At 39.3% G+C, this 26,659-nt stretch overlaps 1 protein-coding gene and 1 long non-coding RNA gene across 4 annotated transcripts in view, besides 2 other annotated features; both read left to right on the top strand.

Annotated features, from left to right (window-relative positions):
• OSTM1 (osteoclastogenesis associated transmembrane protein 1) overlaps positions 1–13,426 on the top strand; it is a 33,333-nt gene extending 19,907 nt beyond the window's left edge. The window contains exons 3-7 of one of the 3 annotated variants that reach the window (XM_047418679.1): positions 248–345; positions 3,637–3,804; positions 5,268–5,303; positions 5,417–5,582; positions 9,995–12,268. In XM_047418679.1, coding sequence (XP_047274635.1) covers positions 248–345; positions 3,637–3,804; positions 5,268–5,303; positions 5,417–5,582; positions 9,995–10,050 — 524 coding nt within the window. In that variant the 3' untranslated portion in view covers positions 10,051–12,268. Of the gene's footprint in view, positions 1–247; positions 346–3,636; positions 3,805–5,251; positions 5,304–5,416; positions 5,583–9,994 lie in introns of those variants that run through there. The other 2 variants (NM_014028.4, XM_047418680.1) reach the window with 2 other exon arrangements.
• LOC105377929 (uncharacterized) lies at positions 14,364–25,604 on the top strand. Its single transcript, XR_942843.2, has 2 exons — positions 14,364–14,489; positions 23,936–25,604. It is a non-coding gene; the product is annotated as an uncharacterized LOC105377929 (long non-coding RNA).
• Positions 22,073–22,572: an enhancer, noted in NCBI's record as "H3K4me1 hESC enhancer chr6:108353467-108353966 (GRCh37/hg19 assembly coordinates)". NCBI's record gives its function as "activates a minimal SCP1, AML or CMV promoter by ChIP-STARR-seq in naive H9 embryonic stem cells {active_cell/tissue: H9 hESC(naive)}" and the evidence as "EXISTENCE:reporter gene assay evidence [ECO:0000049][PMID:30033119]".
• Positions 22,573–23,074: an enhancer, noted in NCBI's record as "H3K4me1 hESC enhancer chr6:108352965-108353466 (GRCh37/hg19 assembly coordinates)". NCBI's record gives its function as "activates a minimal SCP1, AML or CMV promoter by ChIP-STARR-seq in naive H9 embryonic stem cells {active_cell/tissue: H9 hESC(naive)}" and the evidence as "EXISTENCE:reporter gene assay evidence [ECO:0000049][PMID:30033119]".
• Positions 25,605–26,659: the final 1,055 nt, after the last annotated feature.

Below are 26,659 nucleotides of genomic sequence, written 5' to 3'. Positions count from 1 at the left end.
GAATTTTATTTGGTATATTTTTATGAAAAGAGAGTATGTGATTATTTTAACATGTTCATGAAAATGGTTATGACTTTTTTAACTTTTGGAAAATAAAAGGAGTAAGCTTCATATATTTGGAAAATTCATGCTTGTTTGAATAAAGAATTACTGTAGTGTGAAACGAAGCTGATAGCTTAAGATATAAATGACAACATAGAATTGTTCCTTGAGTTATATTAATATACTTTTTGAATTTTTTTGACAGATTGTTTAACAAACAACAGTGAAGAATTATCAAACAGCACAGTATATTTCCTTAATCTATTTAATCACACCCTGACCTGCTTTGAACATAACCTTCAGGTATTTTATATATAATATTTAAAATTAAAATGCTGCCTTGTACAAAGGAATAATGTGCAGTTCCAAGTTTTTAGAGCACTAATTATTGATATTTATCTAAATTCATGATGTAAAGGAGTTAGTGGACCTGGATTTCTGCTCTTAAGTAAGTTCTTCTACTTACAAATCATGAAAACCTCAGTTCTCTCATTGTAAAATGGAGATAATATCTATCCTGCCTATCTTAAAGTATTTTGTAATGAGAATCTGGTGAGATAATGATTGTGAAAACATTGATTGAGGTGTGTGATTGTTTAATTAAAACACAATGGTTTTCAATCTGACTTACGTAGGTATTTTGCAGTGTAGTATGATTCTGTCTATAGGAAGTTTATTCTTTGCCTGAAATTTGCTTAAGTATGTTTTACCTACCTTAAAAAGCACTGTTTAGTAAGATAACTTTGAGTATTGAATTATGATAATAAAAGGTAGCTTTAAGAATCTTAACCTTGTAGATTATTGCCATCTCTATCTCTGACTCTTGAATTTTGGTATTGGAACTTGCCCGGTCGTGGTGAAGGACGAGGTTGGAACTCTGGTTAAAATGTAGTTTTGAAACTTACATAACAAGTAAGTAATCCCCATAGTAGATGTACACATGCTTAGGGTATAAGCATGTATGATTTCTTCTGTAATAAATGTGGTAACACTGAATTATGAATTTCCTTGAGAATAATAAAAATTGGGCCAGGTGCAGTATCTCATGCCTATAATCCCAGCACCTTGGGAGGCCAAGGCAGGCAGGTCACTTGAGGTCAGGAGTTCGAGATCAACCTGGCCAATATGGTGAAACCCTGTCTCTACTAAAAATACAAAACTTAGCCAGGCTTGGTGGTGCACGCCTGTAGTGAAGTAGAGGTTGCAGTGAGTTGAGATCGTGCCATTGCACTCCAGCCTGGGCGTTGCAGAGAGACTCTGTCTCAAAAAAATAAAATAAAAAAAATTAGGTGAACATTTCTCAGAATTTGTTCTGCAGCATGTTAATAGATGTCCTATCAGAAAGGGTTTAGTATTCCATTAAGGTTGGGAAATGCTTTACTACAGGACTTCAGAGCCTTTAGTGGACTGATGTGTGTTGTAACACTCAAATAGCAATTTTTCTATAAAGTCATCCCTTTTATATATGGCTTCACTTTCCACAGTTTCAGTTACCTGTGGCCAACTGCAGTCCAAAAATATTAAATGGAAAATTCTGGAAATAATAAGTTTTAAATTGTACACCATAAACAGTCTTCTTTTCATTTAACTTAGAGTACTTGTATGAGTTTGGTAGATTTCTAGAAGTAGAATTACTATATTGGCAGCCTAAGAAAAAGACACTAGAGAAAATTATCTCCAAATATGATGAGTTTATTAGGGAATAAGAAAGAAGTATGGTAATTTGGAATGCACTGGCAAACCACCAGTACATCCAGTGAGGGAAGGGTAAAGGGAAGCTTTTATTAGCAAAAAGGGAGAGGTTCACACAAGCTGCTTGGAAACTGAGTTCATTGGTTCCTGAGGCTCAAAGCCAAGTTGTCAGTTCATTGGTGGCGATGCCATTACTGGGCAAGTGTTCTTTTGAGTGCATCTTATCTGAATTACTGCAGTCCTAAAGAATGGCAGTGATAAACCATGTGAAAGCAGGAGTTGCAATGAAGGGCGTGAAAGGATTTCTTGTGGGGTTTTTAGAAAGTCTTTGGAAACAAGGACTCTTTTTGTCTCTATTTTGTCTTGGTCTGTCAAAAGGTGATTTCATCCTAATGTCTGCAACTTTCACATTATTAAAAGATATGTGCATTTTAAATTTGAATAAAAATTGTGGCCAGGTATGGTGGCACCTGCCTGTAATCCCAGCACTTTGGAAGGTTGAGGTGGGAGGATCATTTGAGCCCAGGAGTTAGAAATTAGCCTGGGCAAAATAGCAAGACCGTGTCTCAAAAAAAAAAAAAAAAAAAAAGGTTAAATTACTCCCCATCTAGATTATGTGCACAATTTTAGTTAAATGGATTATGTGCTCAATTTTTTTTTTTTTTTTTGAGACGGAGTCTCGCTCTGTCACCCGGGCTAGAGTGCAGTGGCGCGATCTCGGCTCACTGCAAGCTCCGCCTCCCGGGTTCACGCCATTCTCCTGCCTCAGCCTCCCAAGTAGCTGGGACTACAGGTGCCCGCCACCACGCCCGGCTAAGTTTTGTATTTTTAGTAGAGATGGGGTTTCACCGTGTTAGCCAGGATGGTCTCGATCTCCTGACCTTGTGATCCGCCCACCTCGGCCTCCCAAAGTGCTGGGTTTACAGGTGTGAACCATCGCGCCCAGCCCTGTGCTCAATTTTTAACTAAGTGCACAATTGTTCTGTGAAAAACAAGCAATGGGCTATTTCTTGTAGCAGACTAAGGAGAGACTTAGTTTTTCTGTCAAGCAGATGGTGAGGGTAACATTGTTGGGCCAACATCAGTGTAATTACTTTGATTTTTCTCTTTTCTCTTTCATCCCAATGTTCAGTTAATATTCTTTCTTCATACTACAAAGTAAAGAATAAAGGGCATAGAAAGCAAAGGTGTGAACTGACTGTTTAGCAAACTTATTCTTGAAAAGACAAGTGTCAGTCTAGAAGTACAAAATATTGAGATTTAGTAGCATAATATTTTATGTACCTCCACTATCCTCATTTTAGGTTATACAATTCTTTGGTATTTGGCCCTTTTTGTTGACTAGAAAGGCCTGGATTATGAGCCTTGTGATAAGAGAGTTGAGTGGGGATGCAGTTTTGGTGCCTTTTCCCTTTCCATTTAAAAAGTTCTGTCTCAGTAAGATAAACTATGGTGTTCAAGTCAGCATAGGCAGGAACCTATTTTATTTATTCAGTGAGAGTAGGATAGATAAGTGAGGGTTTGTGATGATGAGATAATTTAGGAAATTTTGTATTTAGTTACTAGTCATTTGGCATATGAATTATTGTTATCCTCAGTTAACATTAGCTAATGCAGCAGTTTTGAAAATTTAGAGGCACCTAGAAAGTTCCAAACAGTTTGCCATCTGCTTCACATACCGGGTCTCTAATCCTTCGGACTTATAATACAGGTAGAGGTCGTTTTATTTTATAGATGATAAAACTGAGACTCAGAGTGATTTAGTAACCTACTCAACATCACAGCTTAGCACTTTAACACACCATATTGTTTCCCGTCTTCTAGAAGCGTAAATAGCTTACATTAAAGAGATATTGTATATAATGTTTATTGTATATATTACATGTGCCTTTGTCATTTTAGGGGAATGCACATAGTCTTTTACAGACAAAAAATTATTCAGAAGTATGCAAAAACTGCCGTGAAGCATACAAAACTCTGAGTAGTCTGTACAGTGAAATGCAAAAAATGAATGAACTTGAGAATAAGGCTGAACCTGGAACACATTTATGCATTGATGTGGAAGATGCAGTAAGTACTTTGCTTCTGATGTGATACATATTTTAGAGTGTTATTGAATGTACCTTCAGTATGATTATTATTTTTGGTGATAGGGTGGAATCTGCATATTCTGTCCTCAACCAAAAATAACTAGTTATAAAGTAGTAAAGTTTTAGAATATCCTGGTCTGTTAAACCAAAATGGATATTTCCTTAGTAGTCTCATGGTTAGGATAAAAATAAAACAGAAATTAATTAGGTACTTCATAAGTGAGTTGATGCTTTGGTACATTTTAATCTTTTTAAATTTGAAAATATGTGCCATTTGCAGAGGTGTAGGTATTGTTATATGTTTATATTTCAGTTTCTTGTGCACTTGTTGCTAATTTAAGAAGTTTCTGAGCTGGGCACGGTGACTACACCTGTAATCCCAGTACTTTGGGAGGCTGAGGCGGGCAGATCACGAAGTCAGGAGTTCAAGACCAGCCTGACCAACATGGTGAAACCCCGTCTCTACTAAAAATAGAAAAATTAGCCGGGTGTAGTGGCACACGCCTGTTATCCCAGCTATTCAGGAGGCTGAGGCAGGAGAATCGCTTGAAACCGGGAGGGAGAGGTTGCAGTGAGCTGAGATCGTGCCAGTGCACTCCAGCCTGGGCGACAGAGCGAGACTCCGTCTCAAAAAAAAAAAAAAAAAAAAAAAGACGTTTCTGGATTTCACTACATGTTTCAGAAGCCATTCCTCAATCACTTCCTATTCCATTGTTTTATTTTCTTATATCTATTACCATCTGAAAATATTTATTTATTTATTTTTAGTCTGTCTTCCTCACTAAAATATAAGCCACATGAGGACAAGGACTTAGGCTTTTTTTGTTCACTATTCAGTATTTAGGACAGTATTTAGGACAGTCTAGCATATAATGGGCTTAATAAACATGTATTAATTGAATGGTCAAAAAAAATTTTTTTTTCTCCATTTTATAGCCTGCCTTTACATAGGGTGCCACTAGATGGCAATCATGCCTTTTTAGGCACTATGATGCTGGAGTTTTGGGGCATTAGAGGAAACTGAGAAATTATTGGCTCAAAGTAGAGAACTTGAGGTCAGAATTAATGAGCTTAAGAATTGAGAATGTGTGAATTATCACAGCAGCTCAGAGGGAACTATAAGAACCAATAATATTCGAGATGGTAAAAAGTACTTAAAATGAAATGTACAGTGTGGCTTTTTGTTTGTTTTTACTGCTCCATTCCTATTGCCTAAAACAGTACCTGGTTTCTAGTAGGCTCTCAATAAATAATAAATATTTTGTAAATGAATAAAACAGGGCCTAACTATATTCCTCTTCATATAAGTTCTTTGTTTGAATGTACAAATGGTTGACATTCTAGAATACTTTGGTCAGTATTATGGACTTAGAATATGAAATTTCTGTATGGATATAAATTTCTACAATGACTGTATTTTGAACCAGGTTTTTTTCCTGGCAGAAGAAGTTGTCCTCAACTATCAGTAGGTTTTTAGAGGTATGTATTGAGTCTAAATTCTAGATTCCTGTTTAGTTATTAGCAAAATAATTATAAGAAATTGAAGACAAGTTAAATATAAAATAGAAAGATATTGTTTGCTCTTGTTCCAGATGAACATCACTCGAAAACTATGGAGTCGAACTTTCAACTGTTCAGTCCCTTGCAGTGACACAGTGCCTGTAATTGCTGTTTCTGTGTTCATTCTCTTTCTACCTGTTGTCTTCTACCTTAGTAGCTTTCTTCACTCAGAGCAAAAGAAACGCAAACTCATTCTGCGTAAGTTTTTTACAATTATTTATTTTATAGATAAAAGCCTGTATTTTAAAAATTTAGGCCTGTTTTAGAAATGATAGCTACTCTGAGAACTCAAAGTAGATTAGCCTAAAAGGACTCTCTGCTTTAAGTTTTACAATCATGCTTACTAGTGAAAGAGATCTGTGAAAATTTTATAAGTGTGGACAATAAAAAGTTAAAACAGGGCTAGGTGCAGTGGCTCATGCCTGTAATCCCAGCACTTTGGGAGGATGAGGTGGGCGGATCACGAGGTCAGGAGATCGAGACCATCCTGGCTAACACGGTGAAACCCCATCTCTACTAAAAATGCAAAAAATTAGCCGGGCATGATGGCGCATGCCTGTAGTTCCAGCTACTCGGGAGGCTGAGGCAGGAGAATCATTTGAACTTGGGAGGCGGAGGTTGCAGTGAACCGAGATCGCACCACTGCACGCCAGCCTGGGAGACAGAGTGAGACTGTCTCAAAAAAAAAAAAAAAAAAAAAAGTTAAAACACAGTGTCTTTCAGATGATTAAATTGAGAAAGCTAGATTACCCCTGGAATAAGGTTGGCAACAACAGAAGAATAACAACAGAGGCTTTGCACTCCTAACATGGCAATAGCAGGGAGATACAGACAGCTCTTAGACCCATCGGAGTCATGGTAGAACCACCTAAGTGTGGCAGGCAGGAAGAAACTATAGCTGACATAACAGACAGTTTGTTTGTGAACAAATTGGAATCGTAGTTCCAAGGAGATTACTTGATATAATAGTATATGCTCAATACATATTAATTCCCTTTCTTTCTCCCTATGAAATAGGCCAGAGCAAAAGAAGCACTAACTAGAGATCCCATCCAGCTAAGGAAGAGTGGCTTCTAAGTCACGTGGCTTTCTTGTTTATTATCAGAATGAAAGTACAGGCTTATGCCTTAATAATTTTAGTTTTTAAAAAAGAGAACTGTTTAGGGGAAAAGGTTAATTTTCTTTTCTCTCAAATACTATTTGTAGTCTAGGAATGTCTGATATAAAAATTCTTTTCCCTATAAATTTCGATCACTACTTCATCTAACTTCACTTCTAATATATCTAATTTTTTTAAAAAAAGGTTACCTGTAGATCAGTTTGAACTGAATTTGTAATGTTTTGTCACCTTAAAATGCTAGCTACTAGAGGGGAGAGTCTTTGTCATGGGTGTATTTATTAAAGGTTTTTTGAAGGCTGCCAGCATTCTGTAAATATGCAGTAGCTCAGGTCCTTAAAGCACTTACTTAGAATAATAGCAAAATATTGTGGGCACCTCACCATTGAGAAACTATTTTTCAGAGCTTGGTATACTTTTAAAGTTTAGCATCTTATTTGCCTTGCTAATCTATTTAACTTTATGGAAAGTATTTACTGCTTCTGATCAGGATTTTTTGTTTGCTGTCAAAGTAAAAGTCACTACCAGTGTCACTATTTGCTATGGAAGCCACAAACCTTGTAGTCATTTCTTAATTATTTTCTTTCTTTTATTTTTCCATTCCCACATTCCCCTCTCATCCCCTTTTAATTCATTAGCAAGTATGCTGCCAGTTCTGCTTAGTCCGTCTCTCTCCCTCCACTGGTAAACCCTAGCCCAAACCATCTTCATCTCTTATCTGTACTAACGCAAGAGCCCCTTAACTGGTATCCCTCCTTCCATTTCTTGATCTACTAAAATCCATACGCCACATAGTGGCTAGAATAATTTTTTAAACACAAATTCACCATGTTTCTCTACTAACTTGGAATGCTTAATGTGTTCCCATTGTACCTAGAATAAATCCAAACTTACTTTCCAGGGTCTGCTCTCCAAGCTGTACATGACCTGGCCCATAGCCACCTTTCTAAACTCGTCACATCCATTCTCCTCATTGCTCATGGTGCTGTGGACAGTCTGGTTCCTTTCTGTTCTTCTCCACTACCAAGCTCATTCACACTGCCCCTTTTCCAAGGCCCTTCCCTCTTTACTTACCTGGCTTCTTGCAAGCCAGGTCTTAGCTCTAAAGTTACTTGCTCAAAGAGACCTTTTATGACTCCCCAGTCTAAGAATACACCTCTCCATTTGTTCTTCTGTGCCGTCTTTCTTTAATGGCACTTAATCACTTAAACTAATTTAAATTAAATAATTGGTTATTTAAATCATCTTTTTCATTTATTCTCTACTTTATTTGTTTGTCTTCCCTGCCTGAAGGGAGGAGCTAACTGCATTAGAGGTGTTGAAATTCACCGTTAGATGATCCCTGGGCTAGAATTTTAAAGGATGTGGGGATTTATCAGGTAGGGAATATAAAGGCAAGGAAGATGTAGGTGTATGTACTCATTCGTATTTAACTTGTCCAGTTTATTAAGTCATTTGAATTTTGTCAGAAGCTAGATCACTTCTAGTAGTTTTTAACAAAGTAATTCTCAAAAACCCAAACTATTGATTTGGTTTGCCTCCCAAATCTACTGAAGGCTTAAGAAGTAGATTTTAGTTTAGGCCAATGTTTTTAGTTTAAGTTTTCCCTTTATTTTAAGCTGAAGCAGTACACTCGTCCAGGAAGTCATGTTGTGATTTTCCACTTACAGTTGATAGAAACCAGAGACAGGCCGGGCGCGGTGGCTCACGCCTGTAATCCCAGCACTTTGGGAGGCCGAGGCAGGTGGATCATGAGGTCAGGAGATTGAGACCATCCTGGCTAACACGGTGAAACCCCATCTCTACTAAAAATACAAAAAAAAAATTAGCCGGGCGTGGTGGCAGACGCCTGTAGTCCCAGCTACTCGGGAGGCTGAGGCAGGAAAATCGCTTGAACCCAGGAGGCAGAGGTTGCAGTGAGCTGAGATCGCGCCACTGCACTCCAGCCTGGGCGACAGAGTGAGACTCCGTCTCAAAAAAAAAAAAGAAAAAAAAGAAACCAGAGACATTGGTAGGCCAGGCACGGTGGCTCACGCCTGTAATCCCAGCACTTTGGGAGGCCGGGGCAGACGGATCATGAGGTCAGGAGATCAAGACCGTCCTGGCTAACACGGTGAAATCCTGTCTCTACTAAAAATACCAAAAAAAAAAAAAAAAAAAAAAAATTAGCTGGGCGTGGTGGTGGGCACCTGTAGTCCCAGCTACTTGGGAGGCTGAGGCAGGAGAATGGTGTGAACCCAGGAGGCGGAGCTTGCAGTGAGCCAAGTTCGAGCCATTGCACTCCAGCCTGGGTGACAAAGCCGAGAGTCCGTCTCAAAAAAAATAAATAAAATAAAATAAAAAAAGAAACCAGAAACACTGGTTCTCATCCTTGGCTACACATCAGAATTATCTGCAGAGCTTTAAAAAAGTACAGGTACTAGGGTCCCATTGCAGAGCTTCTAAATCATAACCCCTACCCAAGTTTTGTGAAGCTCTGAAGTAGGGAGACTCTTAGTTACTCAGTATAAAATACTCTCACTATGGGCATGATTGTTTTTCATTTCTAGAACATGAGAAACATTCATGTTTAACTATAAGTACAAAACATATTACCAAGCCAAATAGCCATGATTTGTTTTATTAACCCTAATGACTCAGTCCCATTAGCATCAAATCAGAATTGATGGTAACGTATTTTGTTAGCAGCCATATGTGTTTGTGTGTTTATATAACATAAAACTCACTTTTCTTTGAGGATCATTAAAATTTTTTTTTTACAATACAGAGTTCCATAATAATATACAACTCACTTTTCTTTGAGGGTCATTAAAATGTTTTTGTTTTTTTTTTTTCCCATTACAGAGTTCTTTCACTGATTTTTTTTTCATCTGAAAATAGAAGCAGTTTTCTTTCTTTCTTTCCAATATGTATAGCTTTCCTTTTCTTTCTCTTGCCTTGTTGCGCTGGTGATAAATTAGTGGCATGATGTCAAGCAAGACCAGGTATTTTCGTCTTATTCCAGATCTTAGGGGGAAAAATCATTCAGTCTTTCACAGTTAAGCATAATGATTGCTATAGAATCTTTGTACATGCTCTTTATCAGGTTGGGGAAGTTTTCACTGAATTCTTTTAAGAGAAATTCAGATTTGGATTTCTAACTTAGACTTTTAGATGTATAATTTTGTTATTCTACCTTATAGCACTTTCATTGTCTAAGTACATTTATTTCACGTACATTACATATTTAAGATTGTGATGTTCAAGAAGATATAAATGATGTTGTTTTATTTGTACTGCTTCTAACAAAGTCATGTGCAATTTCTAACAAAGTTATGTGTTTTTAAGGTTGGTAGAAAAAAGTTTTAATTAGGTTTTAATTCTTATAAGGCTGGAACTGTTAGGATTCAAACATAGAATTAATAGATAAATACTATAGATTACATAAAAATAGTAAATAATCATGTTTGATAATTAAATTTAAATTAAAATATAATTCTTTTGATTTATCTAGCCAAACGTCTCAAGTCCAGTACCAGTTTTGCAAATATTCAGGAAAATTCAAACTGAGACCTACAAAATGGAGAATTGACATATCACGTGAATGAATGGTGGAAGACACAACTTGGTTTCAGAAAGAAGATAAACTGTGATTTGACAAGTCAAGCTCTTAAGAAATACAAGGACTTCAGATCCATTTTTAAATAAGAATTTTCGATTTTTCTTTCCTTTTCCACTTCTTTCTAACAGATTTGGATATTTTTAATTTCCAGGCATAGCAATGTTATCTATTTTAATGTGTATTTGTCACAATAACAGAACATGCAAGAACAATCATTATTTTATTTTATAGGCATTTGATTACTATTCTAGACTTCTGGTATCTTCTTACTAACATAAATATCTCAAGTAGAAAAGTTTTTGAAAACTAACATTTAAAAATTAATCAGTTACAGTAAAGACTTTGAAAAAGAAATGTACTTGTTAGGAAGTAGCTTAATTACCCCCCATTGCAGTATTATTGTTATATATATAGTTAATATGTTGTACATCACAATAATATATAATTCAGTCTCTAGTTTCCCTAGAGTCATTTTTGAAACCACTGATTGCAAACCTCCCTGACAATTTTTAAAAGTAGTAAGCCACATTACATTTATCTTTGTAAAAAGATTTATGGTAACTGGTTTCTTACTTGACTTTTATAAATAGTATTTTACATCTTATTTTTGCCTTTATTTCATAAGTAATTTAAAAATCACTGGATTGCTTTATTATATTCAGGGCAATATGGATTATTTTTATACCAAGGATTTGCATCGTGAATTACATTAAGTTATTTGGCAATTTATAATTTATTACTACTTTAAATCAAATGTAGCATTATCACACTGTATTTAAATTGTCATTTTTTAAAGGAATATTTTCTTCTTAAGATATATAGAGGATTTTGGAGAAGAGAGACAGGAGGGGTAAAACCAGCTTAAGGTTCAGCGAGCAGAAAGGGACCTGAGAGGATGCTCACTGTAAGACTGTTGGACAGTGGTGTGTATTGAGGGGATGAATCGGAACGATAGTCTCATGCAGAAAATAGTGAGATTAAGATCATCCTTATTGTTTCTAAATTATTTCAATCAGATGAAAGTGATACGATTGAAATGAAATCACATAGTTCGTGCTCAGAAATTCTATTTTGGTATGTTTGTATTAGCCTTTAGAAAAAACACTCCGTTTCAGAATTGTTCACAGTTTTATTTCTTAGGTTTTTAGAGTTCAGGATTTCATTTATTAATTTCTTCTTGCTTTTTTGGTGGAAATAGGCTTTGTTGTAAACATTAAGAATATAAAATCTCCTCTATATAGAAACAAGAATTTTGTTAAAAAGAGAATTTGAATCCCTTCCTATACTATAAAATGCTCTATAGGGAGACAAAGTGTTTCTTTTTTCTTTTATGTTTACTGTTTATGTGGAGTGAAATATAAGGCTCTTGGATGTATAACATACTCAAAAGCTGTTACACTTTCTCTGATCTGCTGTGATCCACTGAAAATGTGCTGGGGTTTGTTCTGCTGTCACTGTTTATGCTGCTGGAACTTAGCACTGTCTTGATTTGAAGCATATGATTGAGAGCCATTTGAAGCAATCTTCATTAATGCAGATAAAACAAGTTTACATGTGCAGAGTTAGAAAATGACATGTTCAATTCTGTAAGTGGTGACTTTTTGAGCACCTTTCAGTATTATGTATTTGTAAAAACCATTGTTTTTGGATATAAAGCTAATAAGCACTTTAAAAAGGAAAAGGCAGCCTTTACTATTTTTTCTGGTTGAGTCATTGCTCTTTAGACCTAGCATCAGCAATAGATTTCAAAGATAAGTATTAAGCGCTACCCTAAAGTGTGTAAGTTTTTCATTTTGTCATATTGAAAAATGATTTGCATAGTACTGAATGTTGACACACAGCTTATATGTATTTACAAGAATATCTTTAAGTGTTTTTTTGACACATTAAAATAAAGGAAATAAGGAAATTGTAAGCTTTATTTGGATTTTTAAATACATTTTTAAAATTTCAGATGTAATTTAACATCACATTTGTTTTTCAGGTATTGAGTTTAGATGCCTACTTTTATGAGTACCATCAGCTGGACACAGTGTCTCATACCTGTATTTGCAGCACTTTGGGAGGCTGAAGCAGATCGCTGGAGCTTATGAGTTCGAGACCAGCCTGGACAACATAGTGAAACACTGTCTCTGCAAAAAATACAAAAATTAGCTGGGTATGGTGGTAAGTGCCTGTAGTCCTAGCTACTTGGGAGGCTGAGATGGGAGGATGTCTTGAGCCCGGGAGGTGGAGGTTGCAATGAGCCAAGATTGTACCACTGCATTCCAACCTGGGCGACAGAGCCAGACCTTGTCTCAAAAAAAAAAAAAAAAAAAGAAAAAAGAAAGTACTGTCTGTCTTAAATTTTGCTGCAAATAAAAATGTACTTTGGATTATTTATTGTTGAACTTGAGAGATAGAAATAACATCAGATATATTTTTTCTTTTTTTTTTATAATTAATTTTTTTTTTTTTTTTTTTTGTAGAGACAGTGTCTCACTATGTTGCCCAAGCTGGTCTTGAACTCCTGAGTTCAAGAGATCCTCCTGCCTTAGCCTCCCAAAGTGCTGGGATTACAAGCATAAGCACCACACCTGGCTGAACATCAGATATTTTAAAGTGTAGCCCAGAGTCTAGTTGGTAAATGTTACTTATATTGGGACTAGTATTTTCTAATGTTTCTGGGATATGCTCCCTATAAAATGAAATGTTTTCCTGGAACAATGCTAATTAGGATTGCATTCCTGGCCAAAGACATGACATCAAATAAGTAATAGACATCACCAGCAATGAATTTTGAAAAGCAAAAAATACTATTAACCTATATAACCATTTAAAATTTAAAAAATTATGTTCCAAGTACCTCTATTTTCTGAGCTAGAAGAAACCTTAGAGGCCATCTGATGATAGATTCCCAGAGCTGGATGGATCCCTAGGGACTACCTAATCTGACTTTCTGTCCACTGCATGGATTCTTCTAAAAAGTATGTCACTTATTTCCCTACCTTATTAAGACTAAATAAGTGGAACATCATAGAGCTCTTTATTTATAACAGTCATTCTTTGATAGTCAACTCTTAAATGGAGACTTGAGATGCTTAAATATTGTACTACTGTGCTTATCTTGTAAAGATTTCATAAAATGATAGTATTGGTTATTTTAAAAAGGCTTTGGCTTATGCTGAATTATACATGTAGCACCAAAATGTTACAACTCTACTAAATTTCCTTGTTCTAAACTATTATATTAGCTATAATAAATATTAGTCATACATGTAACATGTTTAATGACAAATAACTTTCTTTATCTCCTTGGAATTAAAGAGGGCTTTTAAAAGATAATTTGACTGATCCATGCTTCTTACAGTGTGGAGCTTTGCAATGATGATTTTTTAAATATGTTTTTCTTGTGATAAACAGGTATTTTTTAAAATCTGCTGGGTGTGGTGACTGGTACCTGTAATCCCAGCACTTTGGGAGGCTGAAGCGGGAGGATCACTTGAGCCCGTGAGTTTGACACCAGCCTGGGCAATATAGTGAGACCTTGTCTCTACAAGAAATTAAAAAACTAGCTGAGCATCATGGTGTGTACCTGTAGTCCCAGCTACTCAGGAGGCTGAGGTGGGAGGATCGCTTGAGTCTAGGAGGCAGAGGTTGCAGTGAGCCAAGATTGTGCCACTGTACTCCAGCCTGAGTGACAGAACAAGACCCTGTCTCAAAAAAAAAAAAAAAAAATCCATCTCAGTACCCCAATGCAATCAAAAGATTTCAGAGCTTTAAAATGAATGATGCTGGGTGCAGTGACTCCTGCCTGTAATCCCAACACTTTGGGAGGCTGAGGCAGGGTGATTGCTTGAGGCCAGGAGTTCAAGATCAGCGTGGGCAACAAAGTGAGACCCCCATCTCATATTTTTAAAATTAAAAAGTAAAAGGAATGATAGGTTCATTTTAGCTAGAAATTGTGATAATTCCTCCATTGTCTCAAATGCTCAGGATCATGTCTGAAAGATTTGCCCAATAGCATTGGAAGTGGAAAATAATTCAATTGTAATTTCTCAGATAATTGTATATAACTAGAGTATAGATAGGCAGAATTGAAAATTATTAGTTGCTTGTCCTGTTTTGACTTCTGAAACAGAAGAGTGATCACATGAAGGTAGGAGAAGGGCTGGGTACGGTAGGTCACGCCTGTAATCCCAACACTGGGAGGCTGAGGCTGGTGGATCATTTGAGACCAGCTTGGCCAACATGGTGAAACCCCTTCTCTACTAAAAATTAGCCAGGCGTGGTGGTGCGTGCCTGTAATCCCAGCTACTCGGGAGGCTGAGGCAGGAGAATTGCAGGAGGCAGAGTTTGCAATGAGCCGAGATCGCACCACTGCATTCCAGCAAAAAGTAAAAAGAAGGTAGGAGAAGGCTACTGTCACTGTATTGGGTATCTTTAGAGGCAGGGGCCCACAGCAGAAATCCTTGCAGCCATCCCTCTTTCCAGAGGTGATCAGCTATTTCTTCCTTTTCCTCTCTCTCCTACTAGTACCTCATTTTCTACATTGATTTGTAGTGCTATTACCAGTAATGTAATAGAAGCTGAGATACCAAGGGCTTGCTTGGCCTTGGCTTTTTGAAACCCTCTTTATATCTTGGCTGTCCTCCATTAAATAAGGCACAATGTTTACTTGTATAACCCAGGGACTCTGAGCAGTCAAAATCCAACACCCACCCACCTCCCTCCCCACCCCATGCTCATGTTCCCTCTTGCTGCTTTTCTCTTACTGTGGTGCAGGCAAACAACTAGCATAAGGATAGCATAAAGAAGGAGGAGTAAGCAAGTAGAATCTCTAGATCAAATTTCCACTCCCCCAATCGTGGTTTCGTCCTGTGATTCCTGAATGTATATGAGGGAACTAGAGGTAGCAGTCTACACGGAAAAGGGAAGTTGGGGGTCACTTGTCTTGAAGAGTGCATGCATAGAAATTGTAAAATTAGGCTGGGCGCGGTGGCTCATGCCTGTAATCCCAGCAATTTGGGAGGCCGAGGCGGGCGGATCACAAGGTCAGGAGATCAAGACCATCCTGGCTAACACGGTGAAACCCTGTCTCTACTAAAAAATACAAAAAATTAGCCGGGCGTGGTGGTGGGCTCCTGGAGTCCCAGCTACTTGGGAGGCTGAGGCAGGAGAATGGTGTGAACCCGGGAGGCGGAGCTTGCCGTGAGCTGAGATCGCACCACTGCACTCCAGCCTGGGCCACAGAGCGAGACTCCGTCTCAAAAAAATAAATAAATAAATAAAAAGAAATTGTAAAATTAGATTGTATATTTTTAAGCTTTTGGGAAATGATGGAGATTATGGAAAGGATTGAAGTTCTGCTTGACCTTGCACTACTTGGCACATTTGGCCCACCATCCATTCAGGACTTACCCCTTGCTTCAACCCAATATCTCAAATAGGAGCACATGGGTGTTTAGCTGCTTCAGTTCCTCCTGGGTCTGTGACCTCTGCATCAGCAGATTATCTGTTCACCTTCTTCCTGTCTCCTGATATCACAATAGATGAAATCATAGGAACTATCCTTTGTAGTTTGGCTCTTGTCACAATCTGTACCATTCATTCTATGTCTTTGAGACACTGGGGAATAGGTGCTTAGCTGGGCACTGCAGTTATGCAATTTTGCTTGTAACCAACTCCACTGTGCCGAAAGTGATTTAGAGAATGTAGTCTGATGTGGTCTGGCTCTGAAAAACACATTTTGGGTTTGGGGACCTTGCTTATTGATGGTCTGATTTCAAGAGGCATACCCATGTCATTCTGGCTCTCAGGTGCACCCCAGCACCTTGCATCTAAGCCCTGTCATTTACTGTTGTTCCCACAGTACCACCATCTTTCTTCTCAATTCTAGCCCTGATTAGCTTCACCAACACCAAGATTTCAAGTTACCTGATAGGATTGTGGTAAAGTCTAAGTTTTCTAATACTTTAAAGAAATTACTCCATTGCCTCCTGGCTTGCAAAGTTTCTGTTGAGAGTTCTGCTGTAATTCTAAATTTTGTTCATCTATATGTAATTTTTTTTTCTTGCTGCCTTCTAGATATCGTTTTTTTTTAATTTTCAGCAGTTAAACTATGATGTGCCTTTTTTTTTTTGATACAGGGTCGACTCTGTTGCCCAGGCTGGAGTGCAGTGGTGTGACCTCAGCTCTCTGCAACCTCTGCCTCCTGGGCTCAAGCAATCCTCCCACCTTAGCCTCCTAAGTACCTATCATTACATGCATGTGCCACCATACCCAGCTTTTTTTCTTTTCGTTTCTTTTCTTCTTCTTTTTTTTTTTTTTTTTTTTTTTTAGTAGAGATGAGGTTTCCCCATGTTGCCAGGCTGGTCTGGAACAACTGTGATCAAACAATCCTCTCGCCTTGGCCTCCCAAAGTGCTGGGATTGCAAGCGTGAACCACCGTGCCCAGCCTCTGGGTGTGTTTTTCTTTGTATTTCTTTTGCTTGAGATTCTCCAAACCTCTTGGATCTGTTTGTTGTTTTTTTATTAATTTTAGAGAATCCTCAACTATTATATGATCAAATATTCCTCTGAGACTGCAATTAGATTTATGTTAGGCCATTTGATAGTGTCTCATGGCTCTGTTGGATGTGCTGTTTTCTTTTATACACTCTATTTTTCTTTGTGTTTCAATTTGGATTATTTCTGTTAACCTATTTCAGGCTTACTGATTCTCTCTTGTGCTGTGTTTAGTCCACCAATAAGCCTGTTGAAGAGATTCTTTATCTCTTAATATCATATTTTTATTTCTATCATTTTTATTTAACTCTTTTTTTTACAGTTTCCATCTCTCTGCTGAAATTCCCAATCTATTTATACATGGTGTCCATCCATTCCACTAGGTCCTTTAGCATTTTAATCATAGTTGTTTTAAAGTTTCTATCTGATAATATCAATATCTGGGTCATCTCTGGATCTGGTTCTGTTGACTACTTTTATCTCTTGATAATGGATCTTTTTTTTCTTACTTTTTATTTTTTTTGAGACGGAGTCTCGCTCTGTCACCCAGGCTGGAGTGCAGTGGCACGATCTCGGCTCACTGCAAGCTCCGCCTCCCAGGTTCACGCCATTTTCCTGCCTCAGCCTCCCGAGTAGCTGGGACTACAGGTGCCCGCCACCACGCCCAGCTAATTTTTTGTATTTTTAGTAGAGACGGGGTTTCACCATGTTAGCCAGGATGGTCTCGATCTCCTGACCTTGTGATCTGCCGCCTCGGCCTCCCAAAGTCTTACTTTTTAAAATGTCTTATAATTGTTGATTAAATGTCAGATGTTGCATGTTAAAGAACAGTAGAAACTGAGGTAAATAGTATTTATATCTGGAAATGGGCACAGCTGTCTTTCTATTAGGCCATTAGTGTTGGGGGAGAGGCAAATAACTCTAATAAATAGTTGATTTGGGTTTGAGTTTGTTGCTGCTATAGTTACTTTCAGTATATCACAGATTTCAAATTCTTCAGTGGTGGACTGCTGCTGCTGTGGGCTTAGTGTGTGGCCTAGAGTGCCAGAGTTTTTCTCAGTGTTCCTGCTCCACCCTCAGCTTTTAGCAGACTCTGCACACTTGTACCACCGATGATATCTCTTTCTCTCTGCTCCTGCCCCTCCTCAGCTGTAGAAAGCTATTGCTTACTACTTTGTGCAAGGCTTTATGGTTGGGGCAAGAGGCGGTTCTCCTCCTCCAGCCTCAGTCTCATGCAAGCCATGGGGGTGTGAGCTTCAGGGCTGGGTCCCCTTTCTCCGTGGCACTCAGACCTTGTTTTGTAATTGTGGGGTCTTAGGTGAGAGTGAGTTTCCTGTCCCTCTCTCATTGGCGGCAAACCTCTGCTTTGTATCAGTGCAGGATCATGGTCACAAGTGTGAGTTTCCTTGCCCCGTCCAACGGCAGATGGTTTTTGCTTCAACTCCTCCCTGCCTACAGCCAACTTTGTTGGCTGACACCAGGGGATAGGAGGTTTTGTATCACTCCCCTGGTGGCAGATGGCTTTTTCTTTATGTAAGAGAAGGACCTGGGTTTCATGTCTCTCTCACAGTGGTAGCTGGTTGTCACCTGCATGCCTGTGTCACCAAAAGGAGTCTCTTTCAGTTCTCCTGCTCTGTCCCCAGTTTTTCTTACGAATACCCAGTGGAGGCTATGAAAAAGAGCCAGTAATTTGGGCTAAACTCTCCTTGTATCTGTGGCTCCCAGGAATTCTAAGCTATCACACTAGCCCACACTTAGTCTTTAAGCATTTGTTAAAATTTCGGTTTTCTTCTCTTTTTTTTTTTTTTTTTAATTTGCTGCTATCTTTCATCCTGTACTCTGCGCAAGGCAAAGTAGTTTGTGAAAGCAACGCTTCTTGGCTTTCTCTATCATAAGTGGAACTGGAACTTATTGATTGCTTTTTTTGTTGTCAAGTTTTACTTGACAGAAAATTGCTCTGAAATGTGTTTAATAGGTTTGAAGAGCTAAAACAAGAAACAAGATTAATAATTATGGAAACCGTAAAAAGAACAAAATCTCAAACAAAAACAAATAGCAGCTGAAATTGAGAACTAAATGGAAAGGTTTTATAGCAAATAAGATATAGTTGAAGACATAATTAAGAATACATTAGAAGAACATTTCCAGAAGGAAACATGGAGTGAAAAAAGGTCATAAGTACAGACAAGGGGGATAAGAGATATAGGGGATACAATGAGAAGATTTAATATAAATGTATTTAGAGTCCCTGAAAAGCAGAGAACAGAGAAAATGTGAGAGAAGCAACTTTTTTTTTTTTTTTTTTTTGAGACAGAGTCTTGCTCTGTGGCCCAGGCTGGAGTGCAATAGCGTGATCTCACCTCACTGCAACCTCTGCCTCCTAGGTTCAAGAGATTCTCCTGCCTCAGCCTCCCGAGCAGCTGGGATTACAGGCATCTACCACCACGCCTGGCTAATTTTTGTATTTTTAGTAGAGACGGGGTTTCATCATGTTGGCCAGGCTGATCTTGAACTCCTGACCTCAGGTGATCCACCTGCCTCTGTCTCCCAAAGTGCTGGGATTACAGGCATGAGCCACTGTGCCCAGCCTAGAAGCAACTTTTGAAAAGATAATAGCTGAGGACTTTCAAAACTGGTGAAAAGCATTGTCACAGATTAAAAAACCCAAGCAGAATTTAAAATACACAAAAAACCCAGGCACATTCATAGTAATTGATAACCAAAGATAAAATCTTATAAAATAGCTAGAGAAAAAAAGACATCACCATCAAAAGAGCAACCACTAGACTTACTGCTGGATTCTCCAGAGAAATAATGAAACCCAGAAGACAAATGGAATATTTTCAAAGTGCTGAAAGAAGGTAATTGATTGGTCAGGTGTGGTGGCTCATGCCTATAATCCCAGCACTTTGGGAGGCCAAGGCAGGTGGATCACTTGAGATCAGGAGTTCGAGACCAGCCTGGCCAACATGGCGAAACCCCATCTCTACTAACAATACAAAAATTAGTCGGGTGTGGTAGTGCATGCCTGTAATCCCAGCTACTCAGGAGGCTGAGGCAGGAGAATTGCTTGAACCCAGAAGGCAAATGTTGCAGTGGGCTGAGATTGCACCACTGCACTCCAGCCTGGGTGACAGAGCGAGAGTCCGCTTGAAAAAAAAAAAAAAGAGGGTAACCAATTGTCTAGAATTGCATGCCTAGCAAAAATGGTCTTCAAAATTAAAAGGGAAATAAAGGCATTTCAGGACAAAAAGAATTTATCACAAGTAGGACTGCATTAAAAAAATGCTAAAGACATCTTCAGGTGGAAGTAAAATAAACCCAGCTGGGGCTGGGCGCGGTGGCTCACGCCTGTAATCCCAGCACTTTGGGAGGCCGAGGCGGGCGGATCATGAGGTCAGGAGATCGAGACCATCCTGACTAACGGTGAAACCCCGTCTCTGCTAAAAATACAAAAAATGAGCCAGGCGTGGTGGCGGGCGCCTGTGGTTCCCAGCTACTCGGGAGGCTGAGGCAGGAGAATGGTGCAAACCCGGGAGGTGGAGCTTGCAGTGAGCGGAGATCGAGCCATTGCACTCCAGCCTGGGAGACAGAGCGAGACTCTGTCTCAGAAAAATAAATAAATAAATAAATAAACCCAGTTGGAAACTCACAGGGGCAAGAACAGGAAATTAGTGTAGAGGGTAACTATATGGATAAATCTAAATAAATACTGGCTGTATACAATGATGTGATGTGGAGTTAACATATATATATATAGACACACACACACACACATACAGAGAGAGAGAATAAAATGCACAAGTGACATAAAAGTCAAGAGGTGATTTGTATTAGGGTTCTCCAGGAAAAACAGAACCAAGAGGAGAGAGAGCTATATGGTATATAAGCCATATTATATATGATAATATATAAGCCACTTTTAATTTAATTTTATTTTTTGAGACAGAGTCTCACTCTATCGCCCAGGCTGGAGTGCAGTGGCGCAATCTCGGCTCACTGCAACCTCCATCTCCCAGGTTCAAGCAATTCTCCTGCCTCAGCCTCCCAAGTAGCTGGGATTACAGGCACATGCCACCATGCCCAGCTAACTTTTGTATTTTTAGTAGAGATGGGGTTTCACCATGTTGGCCAGGCTGGTCTTGAACTCCTGACCTCAGGTAATCTGCCTGCCTCAGCCTCCCAAAGTGCTGGGATTACAGGCGTGACCCACCATGCCTGGCCATAAGCCACTATTTAATAATTAATATGTATGTCATAGGAGATAGATATTTTATATATATGTTTTATGTTTAATATATGTCATAGGAAATACATAATCTACATATATAACATTCTATATGAAACATAATCTACATGTTATATGATCTATATATTATGTATTCTCTATGTATTATATGTCTCCTATAACATATATTATATATATTTAGCATATAAATGTCTCCTATGACATACATACATACTGTAAGAAATTGGCTTATGTGATTATGGCACCTGAGACATCCCAAGATGTGCATTTGGCAAGCTGCAGCCCTGGGAAAGCTGTCGATGTGGTTCCAATATGAGGGCAGGAGACTAATGCCCCAGCTCAGAAGTCAGGCAGGAAAAGTTTCATCTTATCAGCCTTTTTATTTTATTCAGGTATTCAATTAATTCGATGAGGTCCACCAACATTGGGGAGGACAATCTGCTTTATTCAGTCTACTGATTCTAATGCTAAGCTCATTCAGAAATACCCTCACAAACACACCCAGAATAATGTTTGATCAAATGTCTGGGCACCCTGTGGCCCAGTCAAATTGACACATAAAATTAATCATCACAATATTCTTGGAGTTAAAATGTTTTAGGGTTGTTGCATTATTTGGGAATAAGATAAAAATTCAAGTAACATTGGAGATTAGGATTAATGTTGAAACCTTCAAGGTAACTGCTAAAAGAAAGTAAAAGAGGGTGTAACTATCAAACCAATGGAGGAAGGGGGAAATATCAATATAACAGAAATCAAGAAAAGAGGGAAACAGGAACACAGGACAGGACAAATAGTAACATGATATATTAAACTCAAATATCAGTAAGTAGATTAAATAGAAGAGGGAAAGAAGGGAGGGAGGGAAGAGGGAGGGAGGGAGGAAGGGAAGGAAGTCCCAATTAATTTTACAAAGTCAGCATCATCTTGATATCAAACCTGATGAACATAGCACAAAAATGAACTAAAAAACTCACTAAAAAATATTGAGAGCGAAAACAAAACAAAAATATTGAGAGTGGCAGGAGGCAGCCAAACGCCTAGGCAAACAGGGATGGGTCCCTGGTGAAACCCCATCTTCAAGCCTAAAAGCCTGAAACCTGCAGCCCAAAGTGAGAACTTCTATTCCTGTTTGCTCACTCTCTCTTGATTGGTTCTTTCTGAATAATGTCTTTTTACCAATCCAGTGTTGTCTTTTCCAAAACTACGTGTGGCCCACCACACTCCACCCACCCCCATCCTGTGCCTATAAAGATCCCAGACTCAGTCAGTAGAAAGGAGAGATGGCTGGACTTTGGGGAAGAGATGGCCAGATTTTGGGGAAGACTATCTGCTTTTCCCATCCCCTCTCCAGCTCCCCTCTAGGCTAAGAGCCATTTCCACTGCTCAATTAAGTTCTCTACCCTCACCATCCTTCAAGTGTCCACACAACTTCATTCTTCTTGGATGCTGGATGGACAAGAGCTCAGGACCCACTGAGTGTGGGGACCCAAAAAGGCTATCACACCGGCCCTTTGCCCTTGCTGTTAGAGGGCAGCCACCCCACGTGATGAGACAAGGGGCCAGCTGAGCTGTTAACACATAGCCATCTGCAGATGGCAGCGCTAAGAGAGCACTGTAACACTCCCCCTGGGGTTTTGGGGTCATGGGCACCCTCATCTCGGTGATGCCATGGGCCCTGCACAGAGCTTGCTCCCGCCAGTGCCCAAAGTGGCCAGCCAGATCCTGCACTCACTCGCTCACTCCTGATCTGGCCATGAGCCCCACATGGAGCCTGCTCCTGCCAGTGACTAGAACAGCTGGCGAGATCCCACACTCACTTGCTCATGGCTGGTTTGGCCATGGGCCCCACATGGAGCTTGCTTCTGCTGGTGCCCGGAGCGGCCGGCTGGATCCTGCACTCACTCGCTCACAGGCTCCCACCCACAAGGGGTTGAATGTGGTGGGCCGAGCAAGTGTTCCCTCCGGTTGGGAGTCCAGTGAAGGGGCCAAGAAAAATCCTGCATCAATCTGAAGACAAAATGTCACATATAGTATTTGTGGACTTAACAGTATGCCAAAAGAATAGTACACTTTGAACAAATTAGAGATTATCCTAGGAATTTAAGTTACTAAGAGATCAGTGTAACTGAGGCGACCTTTAGTTGTATAGCCATCAGGAGTTACTTGTCCTTTTAACAACTATGAATCTCATTGGAGCCCTGAGTCTGCACAACTGGGATTGTCCTTGCAGATACTTAGAAGTTGTACAAGTCTGCCCTGGCTATCCCTTCACCTGAGCTACTATTTCGAGACAGCTGTCTACTCTGAAGGTTACCTCTTGCTGTAACTGTATTTCCAGGATGCTACTGCAGAAATTATAAAGAAAATGACTCAGATTTGTTTGTGTTAAAAAAAATCAACTAGAAGTAATATGCAGCATATATGACAATTCAAAGATCTTAATGTGTAAAGTGTTCTAAATGCAATAATGAAAATGAATTTTAATTTATAAAATTAAATTTAAAATAAAATTATTTAGAGGTAAATAAATATAGAAAAATAAAGTAGGGCATGGTGGCTCATGCCTGTAATCCCAGCATTTGGGAGGCTGAGGCGGGAGGATTGCTTGAGTTCAGGAGTTCAAAACCAGCCTGGGTAACCTGGTAAAACCCCATCTCTACAAAAAATAAATAAAAAAATAAATTAGCTGGGCATGGTAGCGTGTGCCTCTAGTCCTAACTACTTGGGAGGCTAAGGTGGGAGGATTGCTTGAGCCCAAGAGGTCAAGGCTGAAATGAGCCAAGATCATGCCACTGCACTCCAGCCTAGGAGACAGAGCGAGACCTTGTCTCAAAAAAAATCAGCAAAGGAAAAGGTACAGAGAATTCTAAAACAAAGTTAGGCAGCAAAGATATGAATAGGTGTTCATATCTACCCACTAAAGAAACACAAATTATAGCTACATGGTGATACTATATTCCATCTAATGGACTGGCAGATATTGAAAAGGAATGATAATGTCTGGTATTGGCATGAGAACAATGAATTTATATAATATATGGTGTGAGTGCAAATGGATACAAACTTTCTAAAGGGACATTTTCTTAATTATTTAGGCTTAATTCCTGGAAGCAGAATTGACTGTCAAACAGATTGCATCAAGGTATTTGCTGCTTTGAAGTTGGGTTGAAGGGTACATTCAGACTCAGATCCAATTCCACTTCTTCCATGACATCTTACATGATTTTCTTCTGCTCCTGACTCTTCATATTTCTTAAAGAAACAATTTGCCATAAAGGAAAAGGCAAGGACTTTGAAATCAGACCTGGGGCTTTCCCCCTACTTGGGTAAGCGATTTGGTTCTCTGAGCCTTGGTTTCTACACCTGTGAAATGGGAGTTCATAATACTTGCCTCAAAAAAAAAAATTTGCACAAATTAAGTATACAAAAAGCCTACAGCACAATACCCAACCTGGAGTATTTCATGCTGCTCAGTAAGTACTTGTCCATCTGTTTCCTTATGGGCTACACTGCACAAATTGGCTATGTAATTTGGCACTTGTTTATGTACCCGCTCATGCTGTTACCAGCTTCTTTATTGTTCTTTATTGTGTGTGATTGTTATTCCTCCTCTCCAGACTACATTGTAATCTCTTCCAATTCAAGGACTCTATCTCCTTTGTCCTTTGTACCCATAGTTCAATGAATGGTTTTTGAAGTTAGAGTAGCAGTTGTTTGAGAAAAGATAAAATACATTCCTGAACTACACTGTATGATGTTAGAAGGTGTCTTTGTAGCAGGTCTACAGAAAAGAATGTTTGAGACCTTGAAGAAAAGTCCTTCAGCTGCCCATAAAAAGTATAAATGGTAGAAACATAACTATTTAGTGGAAAGTGAGAAGCACTGCTTTGCCACTCATGAACCCCTCGTGTTAAAGCACTGAAGATTCCAGGCTGGAGCCAGTGCTGAGTATCATGAATTACTGCCCTTAAAACTAGCATCTCAAGTCATATATAATACCTTTTCTGGGCAAGAGTCCCATCTCCTTAATCTCTGCTAAATGAGTGTTTATTAGATCTGGCTGTTGAAAAATACCAAGTTAAATCAGACAGTTAAAAAAAATCAACATGATGCCCATAACTGGTTTAATTTATCTTCCCTCTTCAGTAATCCCACACATTACCTACTTATTTGCTGTAATGAACATGCCATTCAGCTAAAATAAGATTAACTGCTTAAACCATGGCATTACAGGCAGAGAACTTTAATGCCGCTTTGTGTTTCATTGTAAGGGTTCAGCAGTTAAACGATATGCTGTTGTCGTTTCTTCCATTGTAATCAAGACGGTTTCACTTAGGATTAGTGCTCCCCAGCTGATTCTCCTGATGGAACATTTGAAGCAGCAAATTTATATGTCTAAGTTACAGCCTGGCAGCAATAACAACCTTCTGAATCAAACCTGTTGGCCTCATCAGCACTCAAATTGCACTGCTCTTTGTGAAGCCCCATCTGCTCTAATGGTGATGGAAATCTCGCCTGCCATGCAGACCAGGGATGGAAAATTGAAAGGGGACTTGGGCATGCATCTGGAAAATAGCACTGTGATGCCCCAGGTGGGATCAGGATTCAGAAAATTAACCCACATTCCCCCACGTGAATGAGCATTTGCCTGTTCTCTGCATCAAAGTCAAATCCCACTTCTTCAATGGTGCTTTCTGGACTGTTCCAGCCCCACTCATCTCTCTTTTCTTTGAACTCATTATAATTATACATCTTCCTACATTACTTAAGGCCAATTATTTATTGATTTATGCAAATCATGTCATTATTTCCTCCGAGGTAACACTGTCTCTTCACTTAGACTGCAAGCTCTTATAAGTCAGGGACTAATAAATAACTGCGTGGTCCTGGGCCTATAGGAAGGGCCCATAGGAAGCTCCTTGACTGAGGGAAATACCCTCTGTGCACTGTGACCAATATTAAGATTCTGCCTGGATAGTCCAGAGTGGGGAAGCAGCTTCAGCTGAGTGTGCTTGAACCCCTCTCGTGATCCTCCCTTCTCTTTCATGGAGTATATTTTACTCCTGTGGCTCATCACATCTGGCACCACAAAGAGAGTCAATATGATGACCCACAGATGTGTCCATCCATTTGTTCAGTTATCCACTCAGTAAATATTTATCGCTGGGCCTTATGCCTACAATCCTAGCACTTTGGGAGGTGGAAGGATCACTTGAGCCCAGAAATTAGAGACCAGCCTAGGCAACAGAGCAAGACCCTACCTCTACCAAAAAACAAACAAACAAAAAAATAGCCAGGTGTGGTGGTGCACATCTGGAGTCCCAGCTACTCTGGAGGCTGAGATGGGAGGATCACTTGAGCCCAGGAATTTGAGATTGCAATGAGTTATGATCACACCACTGCACTCCAGCTTGGGTGACAGAGCGAGGTGCTTAATAATTAGTAATTTATTTTAATTTAACTTTAATTTTTTTTGAGACAGAGTCTCGCTCTGTCACCCTCTGTCACGCTCTGTCACGCTCTGTCACAGGCTGCAGTGCAGTGGCGCGATCTCGGCTCACTGCAAGCTCCACCTCCCAGGTTCACACGATTCTCCTGCCTCAGCCTCCTGTGTAGCTGGGACTACAGGCGCCCGCCACCACGCCTGGCTAATTTTTTTTGTATTTTTAGTAGAGACGGGGTTTCACTGTGTTGGTCGGGATGGTCTTGATCTCCTGACCTCGTGATCCATCTGCCTTGGCCTCCCAAAGTGCTGGGATTACAGGCATGAGCCACTGTGCCCGGCCTTTAATTTAACTTTAAATTAATGTTTAAATTAA

This window comes from Homo sapiens, chromosome 6, assembly GCF_000001405.40.
Source record: "Homo sapiens chromosome 6, GRCh38.p14 Primary Assembly".
Lineage (NCBI taxonomy): Eukaryota > Metazoa > Chordata > Mammalia > Primates > Hominidae > Homo > Homo sapiens.
This window is presented reverse-complemented; position numbering and strand designations above follow the sequence as displayed.